The 18941-nt window shown below is 46.8% G+C and overlaps 1 protein-coding gene across 10 annotated transcripts in view, besides 1 other annotated feature; it reads left to right on the forward strand.

Moving 5' to 3' along the window:
- Positions 1437-2209: an enhancer, noted in NCBI's record as "H3K27ac-H3K4me1 hESC enhancer chr20:45331499-45332271 (GRCh37/hg19 assembly coordinates)". NCBI's record gives its function as "activates a minimal SCP1, AML or CMV promoter by ChIP-STARR-seq in naive H9 embryonic stem cells {active_cell/tissue: H9 hESC(naive)}" and the evidence as "EXISTENCE:reporter gene assay evidence [ECO:0000049][PMID:30033119]".
- Positions 6897-18941, forward strand: part of SLC2A10 (solute carrier family 2 member 10) — a 28028-nt gene continuing 15983 nt past the window's right edge. For 6 of the 10 annotated variants that reach the window (XM_011529062.3, XM_011529060.3, XM_011529065.3 and 3 more), the window contains exon 1: positions 6897-7130. In XM_011529062.3, the coding sequence (XP_011527364.1) occupies positions 7064-7130 (67 nt within the window). In that variant the 5' untranslated portion in view covers positions 6897-7063. Of the gene's footprint in view, positions 7131-8225; positions 13200-18941 lie in introns of those variants that run through there. The other 4 variants (XM_047440529.1, NM_030777.4, XM_017028087.3 and 1 more) reach the window with 2 other exon arrangements.

Here is an 18941-nt window from a genome sequence, read left to right on the forward strand (position 1 = left end):
AATCATTTAACCCTGGATCCGGCCATGCCTGAAGCAGAATTTTAAAATATATGTTAACCAACAAATATATTTTTTTCTTAAGCTGCTTTGAGTTAGGTCTCTGTAACTTGCAACTGAAAGCATCCTGACTGCCAGGATGAGAGATGTGGAGCAGAGATGATTTGCAGACCAACGAGAGAATCAGCCAAATAGCAGACATGGGAGAGAAGAGCACAGATCCTGGGAAATAAATACATATTTTTCTATGCCCCTGAGGTTTTGTGGGAATCTTTTGTTGTTGTTCTGTTTATTTGTTGTGTAGCAATTTTGTGGCAACAGTTAACCATGACGAATACCGTGGGGCAAATGGAATCTGTTTGGCCCAACATCAGCCTTCCCAATGACTGAGTCAGGTTTAGAGGTGCTCTGCTACTCTGGGCAGGATGTAGGACATGGGACACAGGGGAAGCTTTGTTGAGGTTGTCTGTGTCCTAGCCAGTTAACTTGATATGGATTCTGGTGTCCTTTGGGTTGTGTCCGGTTTGCTAACACCTTGTTTTTAAAACATAATATCTCCTGCTTCATTAAAAAAAAAATCAGGAAAGTTCACGTTTCCTATAATGAAAAATATTAGCATCAGGTCCACATTCCTACCTAGCCAGCCTGCTGAGCTCCACCCAGCTGTCCCTGTTAGTCCTTTTTTTTTTTGGCAAGGGTGGGGGTGGGGGGTGGGGGGTGGGGGCAGGGTTTCGCTCTATCACCTAGGCTGGAGTGCAGTGGTGCAATCTCAGTACACTGCAACCTCCACTTCCTGGCTCAAGTGATCCTTCAGCCTCAGCCCCCTGAGTAGCTGGGATCCCAGGCACAAGCCACCATGCCCGGCTCATTTTTGTATTTTTTATAGAGACAGGGTTTTGCCATGTTGCTCAGGCTGGTCTCCAACCCCTGAGCTCAAAGCGATCCACCCACCTCGGCCTCCCAAAGTGCTAGGATTACAGGCATGAGCCACCCCATCTGGCGCCCTGAGAGTCTCGACCTGTGGTTGTCAAACTTTTTCTGAAAGGCCAGATAGTAAATATTTAAAGCACTGTGGGCCATACCATCATGTCTGTTACAACTACTCAACTTTGCTGTTGTAGTGCAAAGGCAACCATGGACAATATGGAAATGCACAGGCATGACTGTGTTCGAATAAAACTTTATAGACAAAACAGTCAGCTGATTGTAGTCTGCTGACTTCCGCCCTGAATGAACAGCCTTCAGCTTGCCACAGTCCTCACCACTCCGCACTGCCTTATGCCCGGCTCACTTCCCTCACTTATAACACCTCAGTGGGCCCTGTAGGCGTATGAATTTGCAGCCTCTAATCTAAGTTCTTTTTAAGGTTAGAGTTTGGGGAACAAAAAACAGGCAGTCTTGTAAGCTGGCTGCTTGGGTGAACAAGAGGAAGGTAAAATCCTTCAACAATTATGATTTAGCAACTAGTATGTGCTAGGTGTAATTCTAGATGTTTATCCTGAACCAAAACACTGGGATACAGAAGAGAAAAAGGGAGATTTAAAAAAATTCCTGACCAGGTGCGATGACTCATGCCTGTAATCCCAGCATTTTGGGAGGCCGAGGCAAATTCCTTGAGCCCAGGAATTTGAGACCAGACAGGGCAATGTGGCAAAGCCCCATTTCTACAGAAAATATAAAAAAATTAGCCCAATGTGGTGGCACACGCTTATAGTCCCAGCTACTTGGGAGGCTGAGGTGAGAGGATCACTTGGGCTTGGGGTGGTCAAGGCTGCAGTGAGCTGTGATTGCTCTACTGTACTCCAGCCTCGGCAACAGAGCGAGATCTTGTCTCCAAAAAAAAAAAAATCCCACTCATAGAGCTTCATTTTAAGGGAGAAGACAGAGTAAACAAATAAATGAGAGATATAATGTGTTAAGGATAATAGATATGTTCCTTATCTTAATTGTGATGATGGTTTCACGTGATGGTTTCACAGGTGTAAATGTGTGAAAATTTGTCAAACTATACACTTTAAGTATGAGCAGCTTATCATATGCCAACTGTGCTTCTGTTAAATTAAGTTTAGCCTGAAGCTGCCTCCTTACCTATTTCTAGTTCAGCCTAAAGGTTTCCCTGTACGTGATGAACCATGACCTAACTAGATGTGTAAACAGACTACAACTTACCCTTGCACCAGTCACCAAGTTTTGGCCAATCAGTGGTGGCCAACTGTTCAAACTGTGTTCAAATAAGACAAATGCCAAGCTGTAACCAATCCAATTGTTTCTGTACCTCACTTCCGTTTTCTCTATGTCACTTTCCTTTTTGTGTCCATAAATCCTCTCCAACCATGTGGTAACACCTATTCTGGTTCGGGGGGCTGCCCAATTCACAAATTATCCTCTGCTCCATTAAACTCTGTTAAATTTAATTGGTCCAAAGTTTTTCTTTTAATAGTTCAATAAAGCTTATATATATATATATATATATATATATATACACACACACACACACACATATATAAAGAAATGAAGAAAAAAACAACTGCTTATCTAGAAAGATACCAAAATGTAACTAGGTTTTTGAGTTTTGTTCCAAATATGTATTATTTTTAACATATGATGTTCTTTAATGTGTCATATATTGCTATTTTAATAAAGAGCTCCATTTTTGTTTCTGTCTTTAAAAAAAGATATACAGTGTATCAGATGGTGATAAGTACAACAGATAGAAATATGCAAAGAAGAGATATAGAGAGAGTTGGAAGGGGGTTATAAATGGTAAATGAGAAGACAGAGAAAAACAGTAATTAAGATCTCACAGTGGCCGGGTGTGGTGGCTCACACCTGTAATTCCAGCACTTTGGGAGGCTGAGGCGGGCAGATCACTTGAGGCCAGGAATCCGAGACCAGACTGCAACATTGTGAAACCCAGTCTCTACTAAAAATACAAAAATTAGCCAGGCGCGGTGGCAGGCCTCTGTAATCCCAGCTACTTGGGAGGTTGAGGCACGAGAATCTCTTGAACCTGGGAGGCGGAGGCTGCAGTGAGCCAAGATCGTGCCACTGCACTGCAGCCTAGGTGACAGAGTGAGACTTTGTCTCAAAAAAAAAAAAAAAGAAAAGAAAAAGAAAAAAGATCTCAAAGTAAGCTGGGTGTGGTTGTGACTATAACAGGTCTGTTGCTTGAAGCAGGGCAAGTCAATACACCAATACAGAGGGTTGCGGCAGAGAAAGAGTTAAAAAAAATCTTAGGGCAGCTGAATGAGGAGACAGAAGGAAACCTCAAATCCACCTCCTGGAGGAGTTTCAGCCTTGGGATTTTAAGGGTTTTGGAGTGGGCTGAGGTATAGGGATCGTCGTTTGGTTGAAGAATGCAGAGTGAAGTCACAGGACAGGGAGATAAAGAAATTTCGTTCTTAGGCTGATTCAGTTCCTCTGTGGGGGTCTTCAAACTGGTTGGTGTCTGCCGGTCCACTGGAATTCAGGATCTGAAGAACATCTTAAGCAATTCCTAAACAAAAAGCCTTATGATGCAAAGGTCAGAAATCCTATCTGTAGGAACAATGGGGATGCAAATGGCAGTATCTAGTGCCACATGACTTTCAGTTACAAGGAAGTGGGCCAAAGGGCAGCCAAATTAATGCTTAATTATAACTATGTTTCTGCCCAGAACCCAGCATGTAATTCTAGTTAACCCTATGAGGACAATTTCATGGCGGCACATGCCTATAGTCTTTGCTACTCAGAAGACTGAGGCAGGAGGATCACTTGAGTCAGGAGTTAGAGGCTGAAGGGCACTATCCTCATGCCTGTGAATAGCCACTGCACTCCAGCCTGGGCAACATAGTGAGACTCCATCGCAAAAAATACAAAATAAAATCTCAAAGCAGAATCCACTTACAAAACAAACTCTAAATGTGCAAGTTATACTCCCTTTCTCAGCCCTAATCCAACCCTCCATCGTGCCCTCCCCTCCTCACTCCTGCTAAACTTCAGGGTTGCCGACAGCTGAGTTTAAGCTCCATGCCCTGCTACATGATTCACAGCTGAAGCCTCCTTCTGGGTCTTGCTGTCTTCATCCTGCCTCTTCTGATCCATCCCGACAGTCCCAGGGAAGTGTAGTTGTTCCTGGTCTGTTCCTCATTAGCTGTGTCGAAAGACAAAATCACAAGTTTAAAGATCTCAGTTGGCTTTATTTACAATTCTAAAATTGGGCAACACTTCGTTTCATCAAATAGAATAAATGTTCCAGTAAGCTGAGAAGCAGAGGTTGGCTTTATAAAGACAGAGAAGGACTGAAGAAAGCAGAAACAAAGAACAAAAAGTATATTAGTTACTTTAGAGCAATAGAAAAATAACTGGTTAACATCAGGTTACTTCAGGCTACCTTTTTTGTGTAAGGATGAAAGCAGAGGGAACTTCATCATCACACTGATTGAAGATTTAAGCTGGCTGCTTGTCTCTCTCCTGATTTCTGGAAAGGTCAGATAACAACTTAGCTTAGGTTCAGTGACCTGGAACTCTAGCATGGGTGACTCCATTTTGATTTTCAGTCTGTTCTGTTGGGGACTAGTGCAGGAGCTTAGTCCAAAACAATGGCTGGTAAGGTTGCCAGATTTAGCAAAAACAGCAACAAATAGTATGCCCAGTTAAACGCGAATTTCAGATAGACATCAAATAATTTTGTAGTAAAATTATGTCCCATGTTTATCTGAAATTCACATTTAACTGGGCATCCTGTATTTTATCCTGTATTTTATCTAAATTCTGTGTCACTCCCCAAGAAATCAACTTGGGTTCTGAGGCCATCTATAAAAGGAAGTTTATTAAAGTGGCTTTTTAAGGGAATTTTTTTTTTAAATCAGAGAAACTCCTTTTTCCATGATGGACCCCAAGCTAATGAATAGGCTTTTAAAATAGTGAGTGAGAGGTTTACAACACTTAAGAGACAGACATTGGTGAGAAGGGCTTTTCAGCAAAGTCCTATAATTGCTGAATGGGTTCTTCCTGCTCGCTGCACAGACAAAACCAGTTCACTGAGACTGCAGTATTGCAGTAGAGAAAGAGTTTTATTAATGCAGAGCTAGCCAAGTGGGCTAGGTGGAGTTATTCCTCAAATCAGTCTTTCTGAAAACTTCAGAAACCAGGGTTTTTATAAATACTTTGGTGAGCAGGGGGATAGGGAATGGGTGCTGCTGATTGGTTGGGGGGGTGAAATCATCGAGATATGGAAAACAGCCCCGTGCACTGAGTCTGCCTCTAGATGGGAGCCACAGGACCAGTCCACTCATGAATCTTTAGTCCAGGCGGGGTCAGTTGGTTGCCAGGATGTGAAAGTATGAAAAACATCTCAAAAGATGAATCTTAGGTTCTACAATAGTGATGTTATCTACAGGAGCAATTGGGGAAATTACAAATCTTGTGACCTCTGGCCACATGACTCCTGAGCAGTAAGGAATTACCAAAACTACACCTGCATTTTAGCATAATTCAGGCCCATCCCATAATCCTAACCTCATGGACTTTCATTAATTTTACAAAGGTAGCTTCAGTCCCTGAGCAAGGAGGGGGTTAGTTTTAGGGAGTGATTATTATCATCCTTGCTTCAAAGTTAAAATATAAACTAAACTCCTCTCGTGGTTGGCTTGGCCTATACCCAGAAATAAGCAAAGACAGGTAGCCGGTGAGGTCAGAGTCAAGATGGAGTCAACCATGCCAGATTTCTCTTGCTCTCTAATCTTTGCAAAGGCATTTTCAGTCCCTTAAGATCACATTAAATTAAAGTTAGATACCATCCTCACCGATTTCTCAGCTTCTGATGGTTAACTGTTCAAGGGTCAGAGGAGAGATTCAAGGCCAAGGGTGATAAGCCTCCTAGTGTCCATGTAGATATAACCTAATCTCTACTTTCTCCTGGAGATGATCCATCTCCTTTTTCTAATCAAGATAATGAACAATAATGAAATGTGTATTCGTTATTTATCACTGTATAACAAATTATTCCCCAAATTTAGTGGCTTAAAGAAACAAACATTTATTATCTCATGTCTTCTAGGATAAAGAATTTAGCATAGCTAAATTCTAGCTCTGAGCAAGAGCTCAGAATCTTGCAAGGTTGAAATCAAGGTGTCAGCCAGGACTAGAGTCACCTCCAGGCTAGGCTGAGGGAAGATTCACGTCCAAGCTCACCACAAGCTTGTTGGCCAGATTTAGCTCCTTAGGGGCTGTTGATTTAAGGGCTTTAGTCCCTCACTGGTTATTGCCTGGAGGCATTAGCTATGTGATTCAATAGCTTCGCTCCATGTGGGCCTCTCCATTGGGAAGCTCAAAACATGGCAGCTCAATTGCTTCATCAGAGCAAACAAGTGAGAGATCTCGAAACTGAACAACACAGAAATCATTTATAACCTAATCCGAAAATGACATCCACCATATTTGCCGTCTTCTATTCATTAGACGTTGCTAAGTGATACTTCTAGTGACATCTAGAAGAGAAGAGGATGCCACTAGGCCACGAATACCAGGAGGGTCTCAGTGTAATCAGACTTTTTATATGAAGGCTCAGGGATCCAGGCACCAGTATTCCAGTGACCCAGCCTCAGAAGTTACACAGTGTCACTCTGCAGGCTACTGATCAAACCAGTCACAAGCCCACTTTTATTTCAAGGGAAGGAACAACGAATTCTGGAGCCATGTTTTCAAACTGCCCCAGCTATTATTATTTTTGAAACTGTGCAAGGATCCCCTGGTTCAGAGGTCTTATGGATGCTGTCATCTTTGCTGAGATACCTGCTTGTGCCTTCAGCATGGAAGAATGCCTGTGTATCCACCTGTACGGTAGGGGTCGCTGTGACTTTGACTGGTGAGGGTACAGCCACTGGTGCACATGCAAAGGTGCCTATCTGTGAACACGTATTGAGAGGCTGGATAAGGCTGCGCCCATGTGAGTGCTGGGCTTGTACGTGCATTTTTGCCTGAGTGAGCATTAGTGGCAGTGTCCCCAGCCTACCCCTTTCCTGAATCCCAGGCTCATAGCCAACTGCCCACCTATTTCCACGTGGATGCCTGCTGAGCACCTCAAATGTCACACAGCCAAGACAGAACTCTGGATCTCCTTTCCCAGCCACAAGCTGCCCCTCTTCCAGTCTGTAAGTTCTTACGGAGCATATATATGTGATCTGCCTACTTTTCTCCAACCTCACCACAGTGACATGAGCCCAAACCAACTTCTCACCTTGCAACAGCCTCCCAGGTGGGAAGGCTGAGTATTCTGGCCCTTAACCAGTTAGAACTCCCCAGTTATCTGTCCTGCTGATGGGGTTGAAATCTACATTCCTGACCCTGGCCCACCAAAGCCCCTCCCTTAGCTCCCATCTCCCTCCTCTCTCCCTGTCTTCTCCTCTGCTCCAGACACTCTGGCTTCATTTCTGCGTTTTTTGTACCCCATAAGCTCCTTCCCACCCCGGGGCCTTTGCCTTTGCTGTTCCCCCTGCGGGGAATGCCGGATCTCTGCTCAGATATCCTCTTCTCAGATCAGCAAGCTAAAGCAGCCACCTGTGTCTGCCTAACCCACCACCGTAGTTTAACTTTCTGCCTAGTCTTTATCACTAGCTGATATTTCTCAGGATCCTTTAGTTACTTCTTTTTCGTCTTCCCCTCCTAGAATGTAAACTCTTCCCCTCCTAGAAGGTAAACAAAAGACCTGTTCTGTTTTGTTCTTCGGCCCATCCCAAGCCTAGCGTAGTGCCTGGTATGTGGTGGTGTCCAAACCCAAGCGTGGAGTGAATGAGGGATGAATCCATGAGAGAGTGAGCGGCTCCAGTGGGTATGCGCGAGTGTCTCACTCGGTGTAGATGTGTGTGTTGTGTGTGTTGTGTGTGTGCGCACGCTGGGGAGGCCAGACAAGTGTGGACCAGTGATTGGGGCACCTCTTCCCTGCAAAGAGGCCAGGGGAAGACAGTGCGTGTGGGGTCTTCTACCAGGGAGGATGGCTTGCTGGTGTGTCCCCCCCAGGGGAGGACTACCAACGAAGGGGACCCGGGAGATGGCGGGTGGGGGCCCCCGGGAGGACAGTGGGCGAGGGAGGGGGTCCTTGCCAGGCCTGGGGCGGCCGGGGGCGGTCCTGGGCTCCCCTCCGTCCCGCCTCCAGGCCTCGGGGCCTGGCTGGCCGACGTGGCGTTGGCGGCGCTGCGCGCGGGAGGGCAGGGCAGGAGGGACAGAGGCGGGGGCGGGCCGGAAAGTTTGTCCGGCGGCAGCGGCGTTGGGGACTCCGGCGGGGGATGCGCGCCCGGCCCCTCAGCGCCCCCAGCACGCCGCCGAGTCCCGCTCGCCATGGGTAAGTCCCGATCGGGCGCTGCCTGCTGGAAGCCCGACCCCTTCCCAGGGTGTAGACACCGCCCCCACGCTCCCCTAAGAGTGCGCGCCCCCTGGCTCCCCCAGGGCCGCCCCGGCCGGATACCGCCTCTCGGGTGGCCAGCCCGAGACTGCAGGCCTGCGGCGGGGGCTGGGACGGGGCTCGGTCGCGCTTCCTTCCATCTTCCTTTCTGCCCCGGAAAAGTGGCCCCTCACTTGCTGCAGCGCCCACTCGGGCCCAGGCACTCTCCCGGGCGCCCTGATCCGACAGCCCCAGGCAAGTGCAGCTGTTCCTGGTCTGCAGATGAAGAAATGGAGGCTCCGAAAGAAGCAAAGCAGTTCATCGATTCGCTGAGCGCGGTTGTGCCCCAGGCGCTGTTGTGGGCCTGGGGACGCTGTCGCGAACGAAACTGCGAACAAAACAGACGAACCCCCTCCTCTGGACGTGATTCTGCAGAGAGGGGACAGAGAAGGAGATTCTAACACAGCATTGGGGTGGGACGCGTGGGGAATGGCTTTGTTGCCACTCGGGACTAGGGCTCTATTTTTCTCTCTGCATTCAGAAGCCTCGAAGGATCAGTCGTTGATTCTTGAGTGAGCACCTACTACGTGCCAGACATTGATATAGGGGTTAGAGCTTCAGCAATGAACAAAATAGACAATAAACCTCTCTCTCATGGAGGTGGCATTCTGATTGAGCAGCTGGGTAAACACGTTTATGAATAACTTCAGAGAGAGATAAGGTGTTGTGGAACCCATAAAATGGGGTGGCGTGAAGGCCAAGGGCGTGGGTTCCTTGGGTAGGTGGTCAGGGTGGGTTTTCTGGAGTAGGACGTTTTGGAGCTGAGAACTTCCTCAGAAGCGGGTCTTGCTGAGATCTGGAGAAAGAGCTTCCAGGTGGCAGCAACAGTGCAAAGGCCCTCAGGCAGGAATGAGTTTGTGTGGCCCAGGCCAGGATGGCCAGAGCACAGCGGGCAGGGCACTGAGGTCAAAGGGATGGCAGAGAGGTGTGCAGGGCTTTGTAAGCCGTGGTGAGAAGTTCAGATTTTATTGCAAATGCCACGGCAAGCTGGAGAAGGGTTTTAAGCTGGAGCGGGGCCGTGACCTGAATTATCTTTTCTTTTTTTTTTCTTTTTTTTGAGATGATCACTCTGTCGCCAGGCTGGAGTGCAGTGGCGTGATCCCGCTCACTGCAACCTCCAGCTCCCTGGTTCAAGCAATTCTCCTGCCTCAGCCTCCCAAGTAGCTGGGATTACAGGCATACACCACCACGCCCAGCTAATTTTTGTATTTTTAGTAGAGAGTGGGTTTCACCATGTTGGCCAGGATGTCTTGATCTCCTGACCTCGTGATCCGGCTGCCTCGGCTTGGGATTACAGGCGTGAGCCTCCGCGCCCGGCCCTGAATTAACTTCTCAAAGTTTGCTCTGAGTCGTTCTGTGGAGAATCACAGTCGCTAACACTGGCTATGATGTAGGTAAGCATAGAAGGTAGGCATTAATATCCCATTTGTAGATGGGGAAGCCCAGAGAGGTGAGGTGAGTTCCCCAAGGTCACACAGCTATGGAGAGGAGAAGCTGGGAAGGAGCCCCAGCATTCTGACTCCAGTCTGCATTCCTAACCACTGCACCACGTGGCCTGTCATGGTGGATTAATGGTAAAACTGGTGACCAGTTCCGGCTCTGACAGGAGAGTCCATCCTCTTAACCCCCACAGCACAGTGCCCCAGAGCCTGAGAAAAAAATGAGGCCCAGAGAGGTCAAGGTCTTCTTAAGGACACTCAGCTTAGCCCTAGCCCCTTGTTCCTGCACCTCCTATTCCTGCTAAATCAACCCAACAGCCATTTGCTGAGTGCCTTCTATGGGCAGAGCGAGGGCTGGGTGTTAGTGCTGGGGGAGGCATAAGTCATGGCTGCGGGTCTCTGTCCTCCCCAGAATTCTTACACAGCAGGGACCAGGGATTGGGCTCTCTTTATAGCCTCTGGGGGCAGAACTGGGTTCTAGACCCAATTCCTCTCACTTTGTTCCACCATTCCACTTTGACCTGGGAGAGTCTGCCAACTTCTCTGGTCACTATCAAATACCCTTATCACAGGGTAGCCATGAGAATGATGTGAAAAAATGAATTACAGTGCTCGGCTCATCACCTATATCTGGTAAATGGTGAGTGAATGTGAGTTTTTATTTTATATTGCACCCAATATTGGGATTCTGGAGTCAGACTGCCCGAGTTCAAGTTCCTGCTATGTGACTTACAAACTGTGCCACCTTGGGGAAATGTCTTCACCTCTCAGTGTGGTGGTTATTTCTGTAAAATGGGAATGACAATAGTGATTGTCATAGGATTGTCTAGGGATTAAGCCAGCTGGTACAGATACTGCCCCTTAGGAGAGTGGCTGGCTATAGTGGGTACTCCAAGTATCAGCTGTGGCTGCAATTGCTGGGACATTTGGAAGCCGGCCATCTGCAAGAGGATATTCATACAGTTCAATTTCACATCTGGCTTCTCCCTGGAGCTTCAGGGAAAGCCACAGCAGGTCTCTGGTGCAGGAGGGACCCAGTGCTCTGTGACCTCTGGTTGAGACACTACTCTAGTGTCACCAACGGGAGGCCTAGGACTTGCAGCTGGAGATACTTGCATCCCAAACCAGGGTTCTCCCCCCTCCCCCTGCCCCCTGACCCTGTCCCGGGGAAGCTGTGCCCTCCACAGCGAGGGGCTTAGAGGATTAAGGGATTTCCTCCAGTGTGGGACATCTTCACTACAGCCTATGTTAGGCAGGTTATTAATAGAAAGGATGCACACTTGCTAAACTTAGGTCAAGCCGTCTTAATGTGTTCTCCTTAATTTTCTTTCTTTTCTTTTTTTCTCTTTCTTTCTTTCTGTCTTCTTTCTTTCTTTTTTTTTTTTTTTTTTTTTTGACAAAGTCTGGCTCTGTCATCTAGGCTAGAGTGCAGTGGTACAGTCTCGGCTCACTGCAACCTCTGCCTCCCAGGCTCAAGCCATCCTCCCACCTCAGCCTCCCAAGTAGCTGGAATTACAGGTGCACACCACTATTCCTGGCTCATTTTTGTATTTTTTGGTAGAGATGGGGTTTCACCGTGTTACCCAGGCTGATCTTGAACTCATGAACTCAAGTGATCCACTTGCCTTAGCCTCCCAAAGTATTGGGATTATAGGCATGAGCCACCGAGCCCAGCCTAAGACATCTTAATTTGAGGACGAGGCTTTGCTCTGCTTCCTGTCCATGGCCACTTCCAGGCCCTGGACCTTTCAGATGTTCATGAGCCAAGATCCTTTCTTTCTGGATTTCCTACATCCCCACAGTTCATTTGGTTTTTCATTCATTCACTCAATCATTCATTTGTTTAACAAATATTATTGATTGAGTGCTGAGTAACTGTCCTTGGCCTCAGGGAGACAGCTGAGAAGAAACAAACCACTCCTGTTCCCTTGAGGCTGACTTTCAGGTCAGGGAGACCAATAAATATGTAAAATATGTAGTTATTTTGGAAGATGAGAAGTGCCACGCAGAAAAAACAAGTGGAGAAGGGAATACAAAGTGCTAGATGCTACAGGGAGGTTGAATTTTAGGTAGAAGGCCAGGGACAGCCTCACCGAGAAGGGGATGTTTCAGCAAAGATCAGAAGGGAGGAAGGAAGGAACTGTTGGCATGGAGGGACAGGACTTCCCAGGCAGAGAGGCTGGCAGGTACCAAGCTTTGAGTTGGGACGTGCTTGGAGTGAGAGTAGCAGCAAGGAACCAGTGTGACTGGAGCCCAGTGAGAGGGGGCAGATCCTGCAGAGTCTTGAAGGCCACGGTGAGGACGTTGGCTTTTCTTAGACTGAAATAGGAGCCTTGGAGGGCTCCTAGTGGAAGAGTGACGAGGCCTGACTTAGGTTTTCCCAGAATCCTTCTGGCTGCTGTGTAGAATTAGTTTAGGTTCAGAGGTATCTGACACAGCCCTAGAAATGTCATGAGGTGAAATAGCCCTGGTCCTCTACCCAGTCATTTGTTCATTCAGCAGAAACTTCACTGGGTTCCTCTTGGGTGTCAGGGCAGGGCTGGGGCCCCGGAGGCTCAGGACGAGTCAGTCTCTATCCCTGCCCTCCTTAGTTGAATATGGAAGACTCATAAAGGAACTTGCAGTGTGAAGGAAAAAGAGTACAGTGGAGAGTTGAGGAAGATGCATGGGAATTGGTCAGGAACTCCCTCAAACTTTTCCACTGAAAGGCACTAAGCAAACATCACTGTCTGCTGATAGGAAGGGTACTTGGGTACTGAGATTAAAAAAAAAATGACAGGCCAACCTTCAGAAAATCCAGAAATTGGCAATGAGTATTTATGGGTCACTGAAGTCTATGGCTTCAGGTGCAGTTGGATCTAGGGGCTCATACAGTGTTGTCAGGAATCCTTCATTGGGGAAGATGGCCCCCAGTGGCTCCAGGCAAGTAAAACACCAGCTTGGCACCCCTGGTGAGCAAACACACCCGGTCCGACTCTCACTGGCCCAGGTTCACCCACGTGGTATTCACCTCTGCCTAGGGCCCAGGAATTTGCTGATTGATTGGATCTGGATCATGGACACCACCCTGGGGCTGGGCACTGAGGGTGGAGGTGGGGGCAGTCATCTCCACCCAAACCAGGAGACTGTGAGACAAGGAAAAGGGGCGGCTCCCTGCAACGGAAGATGAGGAGCGGATGCCAAATAACAGATGTGTATACCTGGAGGCTCCTTGGGGAGGTGGCACAGGACCTGGGACTGAAGAGGGAGAGTAGAGGAACAAGGGGACCCTTTCCTTGGGGAACAAGGACAGTGCACGTAGGAGGCCCAGCACGTGCAGTGGTGGAGCGGCATGAAAGCATACAGTATGTGCCGGGAACAAACATGTTGGCAAGGTGTGTGGGGCGGGGCTGTGGCGACAGAGTCCGGGAGGAGGCGAAGTGGCTGAGGAGTTAGGCCAGCCCATGAAGGGCCTTGCCTGTCATGCTAAGGTGGTGGGACTGACTCAGGTGATGGGAACCATGGAAAGGGAATGTTCTTCCTCGTCTTCCTAATGGCTCCAACTCCTTTGAGGTCCTCCTTTATATCTACAGTCCCATGCCACAGTATCATTTCACCATGCTTTATCCCTTGGGGTTTTCCTGAGAGCTCTTTCCCCTCCACCTCTGCCTCCTGCACCCCAGTTTCCTCCCACCGCACCTATCTCTGATTGACTCTTCTTGCTGGGAGGTCAGTGCAGCGGAGCTCTTAAGGACATGGGTTTGGGAGGCAGGCAGGTCAGCATTTCCATCCTGATCCTGTTGCTTCCTAGCTGTGAGAACACTCTGAGCCTTAACCTCCACATCTGTAAGATGGAATAATTGTAGCAGTCTCACCTAGGGTTGTTATGAGGATGAATTGAGGGAAGGAACATAAAGTCTTCACACAGAGGAGGTCTCCATACATGATAGCTGTTATTATTACTGTTTTATTTCACGTTTGTTTGTTTGTTTGTTTGTTTCTATTGTCCATTGGCCTTATTGTCCATTTCAACTGAACCTGCACTGATGTGTTTTCCAGTGGAACCTGTGGGTGGAAGCTGTGAGCCCTTTGGCTGGGTTCCCTTTCGCTGCAAGAGGAACCCAGGAAATGGCAAACAAATCCTGGGCTTTCACCTCGATTGCTTCACATGGCCTGGAAGGACCTTGCTTTCTGGGAAAAAGCCTCAGGAATGAGGGAGGAGGGGCAAAGGGGGGCGAAGACAGAGCAGGATCTGAGCAGCATCTTCCAGGATGTTTACTAGTGGTGAGGAACAGGAAGGACAGGCCAGCCAGGGAGTGGCAAGGGCTCGTTTCCTTGGAAGGTAGGAGTGGCAGGGGAGAGGGATGAGCAGAAGTGGGGGTGGAGAATGATTCCTTCACCCATGGAACTCCTCCTTCTGCACAAAAACTGCCTAACAAAGCTAAGAAGGGACCCAAGCAAGAGAACAGAGTGAAATCACATTTCACCAAGGTTTTATAATGGAGCAGTCAAGAGTAGGGACTGTGGACCCAGACAGCCTGGCTTTCATTCTATCCTCAGCTGCTTACAACTTTTTTTGTTTTTTTATTTTAGAGTCAGGGTCTCAGTCTGTCACCCAAGCTGGAGTGCAGTGTCACGATCATAGCTCACTGTAACCTCAAACTCCTGGGCTCAAGCGATCCTCACACTTCAACCCCTAGAGTAGCTGGGACTACAGGTGCCCACCACCCTGCCTGGCTAATTTTTAAACCTTTTGTATAGAGACAGGATCTTGCTATGTTGCCCAGGTTGCACTTACTACTTTTGACCTTAAGTGAGTTGCTTTACCCCCCTGATGATCACTTTATTCATTCGTAAATAATACAAGAGCCTACCTCATAACGTTGGGGTGAGAACTTTTTTTTTTTTTTTTTGAGACAGGATCTTGCTCTGTTGTCCAGGCTGGAGTGCAGTGGCACGATCTCGGCTCACTGCAACCTCCACCTTCCCGGATTCAAATGATTCTCCCACCTCAGCCTCCCGAGTAGCTGGGATTACAGGTGCATGCCACACACCCGGCTGATTTTTGTATTTTTAGTTGAGATGGGTTCTCATCATGTTGGCCAGGCTGCTCTTGAACTCCTGGCCTCAAGTGATCCGCCCGCCTCAGCCTCCCAAAGTGTTGGGATTACAGGCGTGAGCCACCACACCTGGCCATAAATGTGTTTTTAAACTCAAAGCAATGTCTAGTCCAGAGAAACTCTCCATACATCTGGCTATAATATTGCAGATGTCCTTGTCAGGTCCAGGGTGGGGGTGCATGACATAGATACTGCTGGATTATTCTAGATGCTTCCAGAAATATATAAATTTAAGTGTGTGAATTAAAAATTAAGAGTAATCTGTGCAACTGTGCTGCCAATAGGGTAGCCAGCATCCATATGTGGTTATTTTTATATGTACACTAATATAAATAAAATAAAATAAAATAAAAAATTCAGGCTGGGCATGGTGGCTCATACCTGTAAGTAATCTCAGCATTTTGGGAGACTGAGGCGGGCGGATCACCAGAGGTCAGGAGTTCGAGACCAGCCTGGCCAACATGGTGAAACCCGGTCTCTACTAAAAATATAAAAATTAGCCAGGCTTAGTGGTACATGCCTGTAGTCCCAGCTACTCGGGAGGCTGAGGCAGGAGAATTGCTAGAACCCAGGAGATGGAGGTTGCAGTGAGCCGGAATTACGCCACTGCGCTCCAGCCTGGGAAACAGAGTAAGACTGTCTAAAAAAAAAGAAAAGAAATTATTTCCTGCATCCCGTTAGCCACATTTCAAGGGCTCATTTTCTACATGTGGTTGGCTAGTGACTATCATATTGCACAGCATGGTTATAGAAATTTCTGTCATTGCAGAAAATGCTGTCAGATAGTGCTGCTCTAAGAAGAAAGGAAAACATAGAAAATGTAACACTCAGATCAGTGCGGGAAAAAATGGAAAAAAAACCCACCCCATAATTGATCCATCAAAAGCAGAAATGGAGGTAAAAAGAAATATCCTGATAGCACAGTAAATAGAAGACAAAAAGATAAATGGCAGAAGCAATTTCAATTGTATCAGTCATTGTAATAAATGTGGACCAGTTCACCTTTTTATTTATTTATTTATTTTTGAGATGGAGTCTTGCTCTGTCGCCCAGGCTGGAGTGCAGTGGTGCAATCTCGGTTCACTACAACCTCCGCCTCCTGGGTTTAATTGATTCTCCCACCTCAGCCTCCTTGATAGCTGGGATTACAGGCGCCCACCACCACGCCAGGCTAATTTTTGTATTTTTAGTAGAGATGGGTTTTGCCATGTTGGCCAGGCTGTTCTCGAACTCCTGACCACAGGTGATCCACCTGCTTTGGCCTTCCAAAGTGCTGGGATTATAGGTGCGAGCCACCACACACGGCCAAGTTCACCTTTTAAAAGAAGACAGTCAGATTGCATCTGAAATCATCCAGCTGTATACTGCTTTCACAAGGAACACATGACAAATGGTTACAGATCTAACCTGTTGGGTTAAAGTGCTTTGAAAATGCAGACACTGAGGAGGGAGCGCTCACTGTCTAAATGTAGGTGCCTCTGGGGTGAACAGGTTTCAGAAGGAGGAGACAATGTGAGTTGAGAAAGGCTAAATCTAACTACAGCTGTTGAAAATACCTTGACTGCCATGCATGGTGACTCACGCCTGTAATCCCAACACTTTGGGAGGCCTAGGCAGGAAGATCACTTGAGCCCAGGAGTTCGAGACCAGCCTGGGCAATGTAGTGAGACCCCACCTCTTCAAAAAAATCAAAAAGTTAGCCTGGCATGGTGGTGCATGTCTATAGTCCCAGCTGCTTGGAAAGCTAAGGCAGGAGGATCACTTGAGCCCGGGAGGCAGAGGCAGTGAGCCATATGGTGCCACTGCACTCCAGCCTGAGTGACGGAACGAGACCTCATCTTAGAAAAAAAAAAGAAAGAAAATGCTTTGAGCTTTCTTTTTCCTGTGTCTGTTCTTATGGCGCCTTCATTATTCCCTGTGTTGTTTGGATTTCTGTCTTTTCTCCTTATTTATGCTTACCAAAGCATTATCTGTTTTCTTATCCATGTCAAGGAACCAACTTGAGTTTTAGCGATCAACTATCCTCTTCTTGTCGTTTTTCCATTCCCTTAACATCTGTTTTCATATTCACTAATTCCACTTGCTCTTTGGGTTCATTTTGTTCTAATTTTCCTAGCTTCTTCACACAAAGACTTAATTAATTTACTCTCAGGTTCTTTTGGGGTTCCTGATAAAATATAATTTTCACTTGATTATCTCTTTGACCACATCCCACAGGCCCATTTTTTATGTGGGCCTTTTATTCTCATTTCATTATTTATTACAATTTTTATTCTCAGTTATTTTTATCCTCAATTATTCAAGATTTTTAATCTTTATTTTATTTATTCTCATTCAGTAGGTGGTTATTTCTATTTTGTTTCTTCTTTATGCCAAGTAATTTAGATGTATATTTTATATTTTATTTTATTTTTTAAAGATAGGGCCTTGCTCTGTCACCCAGGCTGGGATGCAGTGGTGTGATCATAGCTCACTGCAGCCTCGACCTCCTGGGCTCAAGCAATCCTTCTGCCTCAGCCTCCTGATTAGCTGGAACTACAGGTATGCACCACCACACCCAGCTAATTTTTAAAGAAAATTTTTCTGTAGAGGTGGTGTCTCACTATGTTGTGCAGGCTGGCCTCAAACTCCTGGCCTCAAGTGATCCTCCTGCTTTGGCCTCCCAAAGCGATGAGATTACAGGCATGAGCTACCACATTCGGCTTTAGCTGTGTATTTTAAGTTTCTCCATGTATATTTGGGCGGAGGGGGGTGTTGTTGTTACTGGTTGTTTTTTTTTTCTCTCTGAATGAAAAAGCCATGGTTGGAAAAAAAAAATGCTTGTCTGCAATGCCAGGAACCAACAGGCTTAGTTTTGCTATTTGGCCTGTTCCCTTTGCACTAGATCTGCAGCAAAGAGTGAAATGGAGTCAGCGTCTTCTTCCTCTTATTCTCTTAGCACCAGCTGTTGAAGGGTTATGTTTTGAAGGTGTATTAGTCTGTTTTCATGCTGCTGATAAAGACATACCTGAGACTGGGTAGTTTATAAAGAAAAAGAGGTTTAATGAACTCACAGTTCCATGTGTCTGGGGAGGCCTCAAAATCATGGTGGAAGGTGAAAGGCACTTTACATGGCGGCAGGCAAGAAAGAATGAAAGCCACGTGAAAGGGATTCCCCTTATAAAACCATCAGATCTTGTGAGACTTATTCACTACCACGAAACAGTATGGGGGAACCACCCCCATGACTCAATTATCTCCCACTGGGTCCCTTCCACAACATGAGGGAATTATGGGAGCTACAATTTAAGATGAGATTTGGGTGGGGACACAGCCAAATCATATCAGAAGTGGAGCAGGAGATGACATCAAATTTGTGTTTTCTTAATCAAGTCTGGCATTGGGCAGGACTGCTACAGGTGGTAACAGCAATCATGGTACTTCTCCTTGAGCATACTTCCTGAGCCTCCTTTCTCTACTGAACTCTTCCAAGAGCCAGTGAGAAAGGATTTATTAGCCCTGTTTTACAGGTGAGGAAACGAGTTCAAAGAGAAGAAGCAGCTTGCCCAGGGTGGCACAGAGCAAGTGGCAGTGCTAAGACTGGTACTCAGGCCTTTTCAGTCCTAGTCCTCATTGCTTTACACTGTGCTAAGCTGTCAACACAGCAGATCATATAACAACTTAGAGGAACAGCATCCATTGTTTCATTTTATCTTCCCACTGGCTCTGAAAGCAAACAAGGTGGGTATTATTGTCCCCATTTTACACATGAGCAAACTGACACTGAGAGATCAGAAGTACCTTGGTTCAAGTGCAGCTGAGAGGGGCACAGAGTGAGATGAGGTATGCACAGATACACAAGAAAGAAGCTTAAGAATGTCTTTAATAACCACAGCTCTCGGATCACTGGATTCATGAGGACTGGAAGGGGAAAAGAAGCAAATGGCAAGAAAACAGATCTACCAAAAACAAAACAAAGCAAGACAAAAAGCCTCTCACATTCTTACA

The sequence above is a fragment of the Homo sapiens genome, chromosome 20 (genome assembly GCF_000001405.40).
Source record: "Homo sapiens chromosome 20, GRCh38.p14 Primary Assembly".
NCBI lineage: Eukaryota > Metazoa > Chordata > Mammalia > Primates > Hominidae > Homo > Homo sapiens.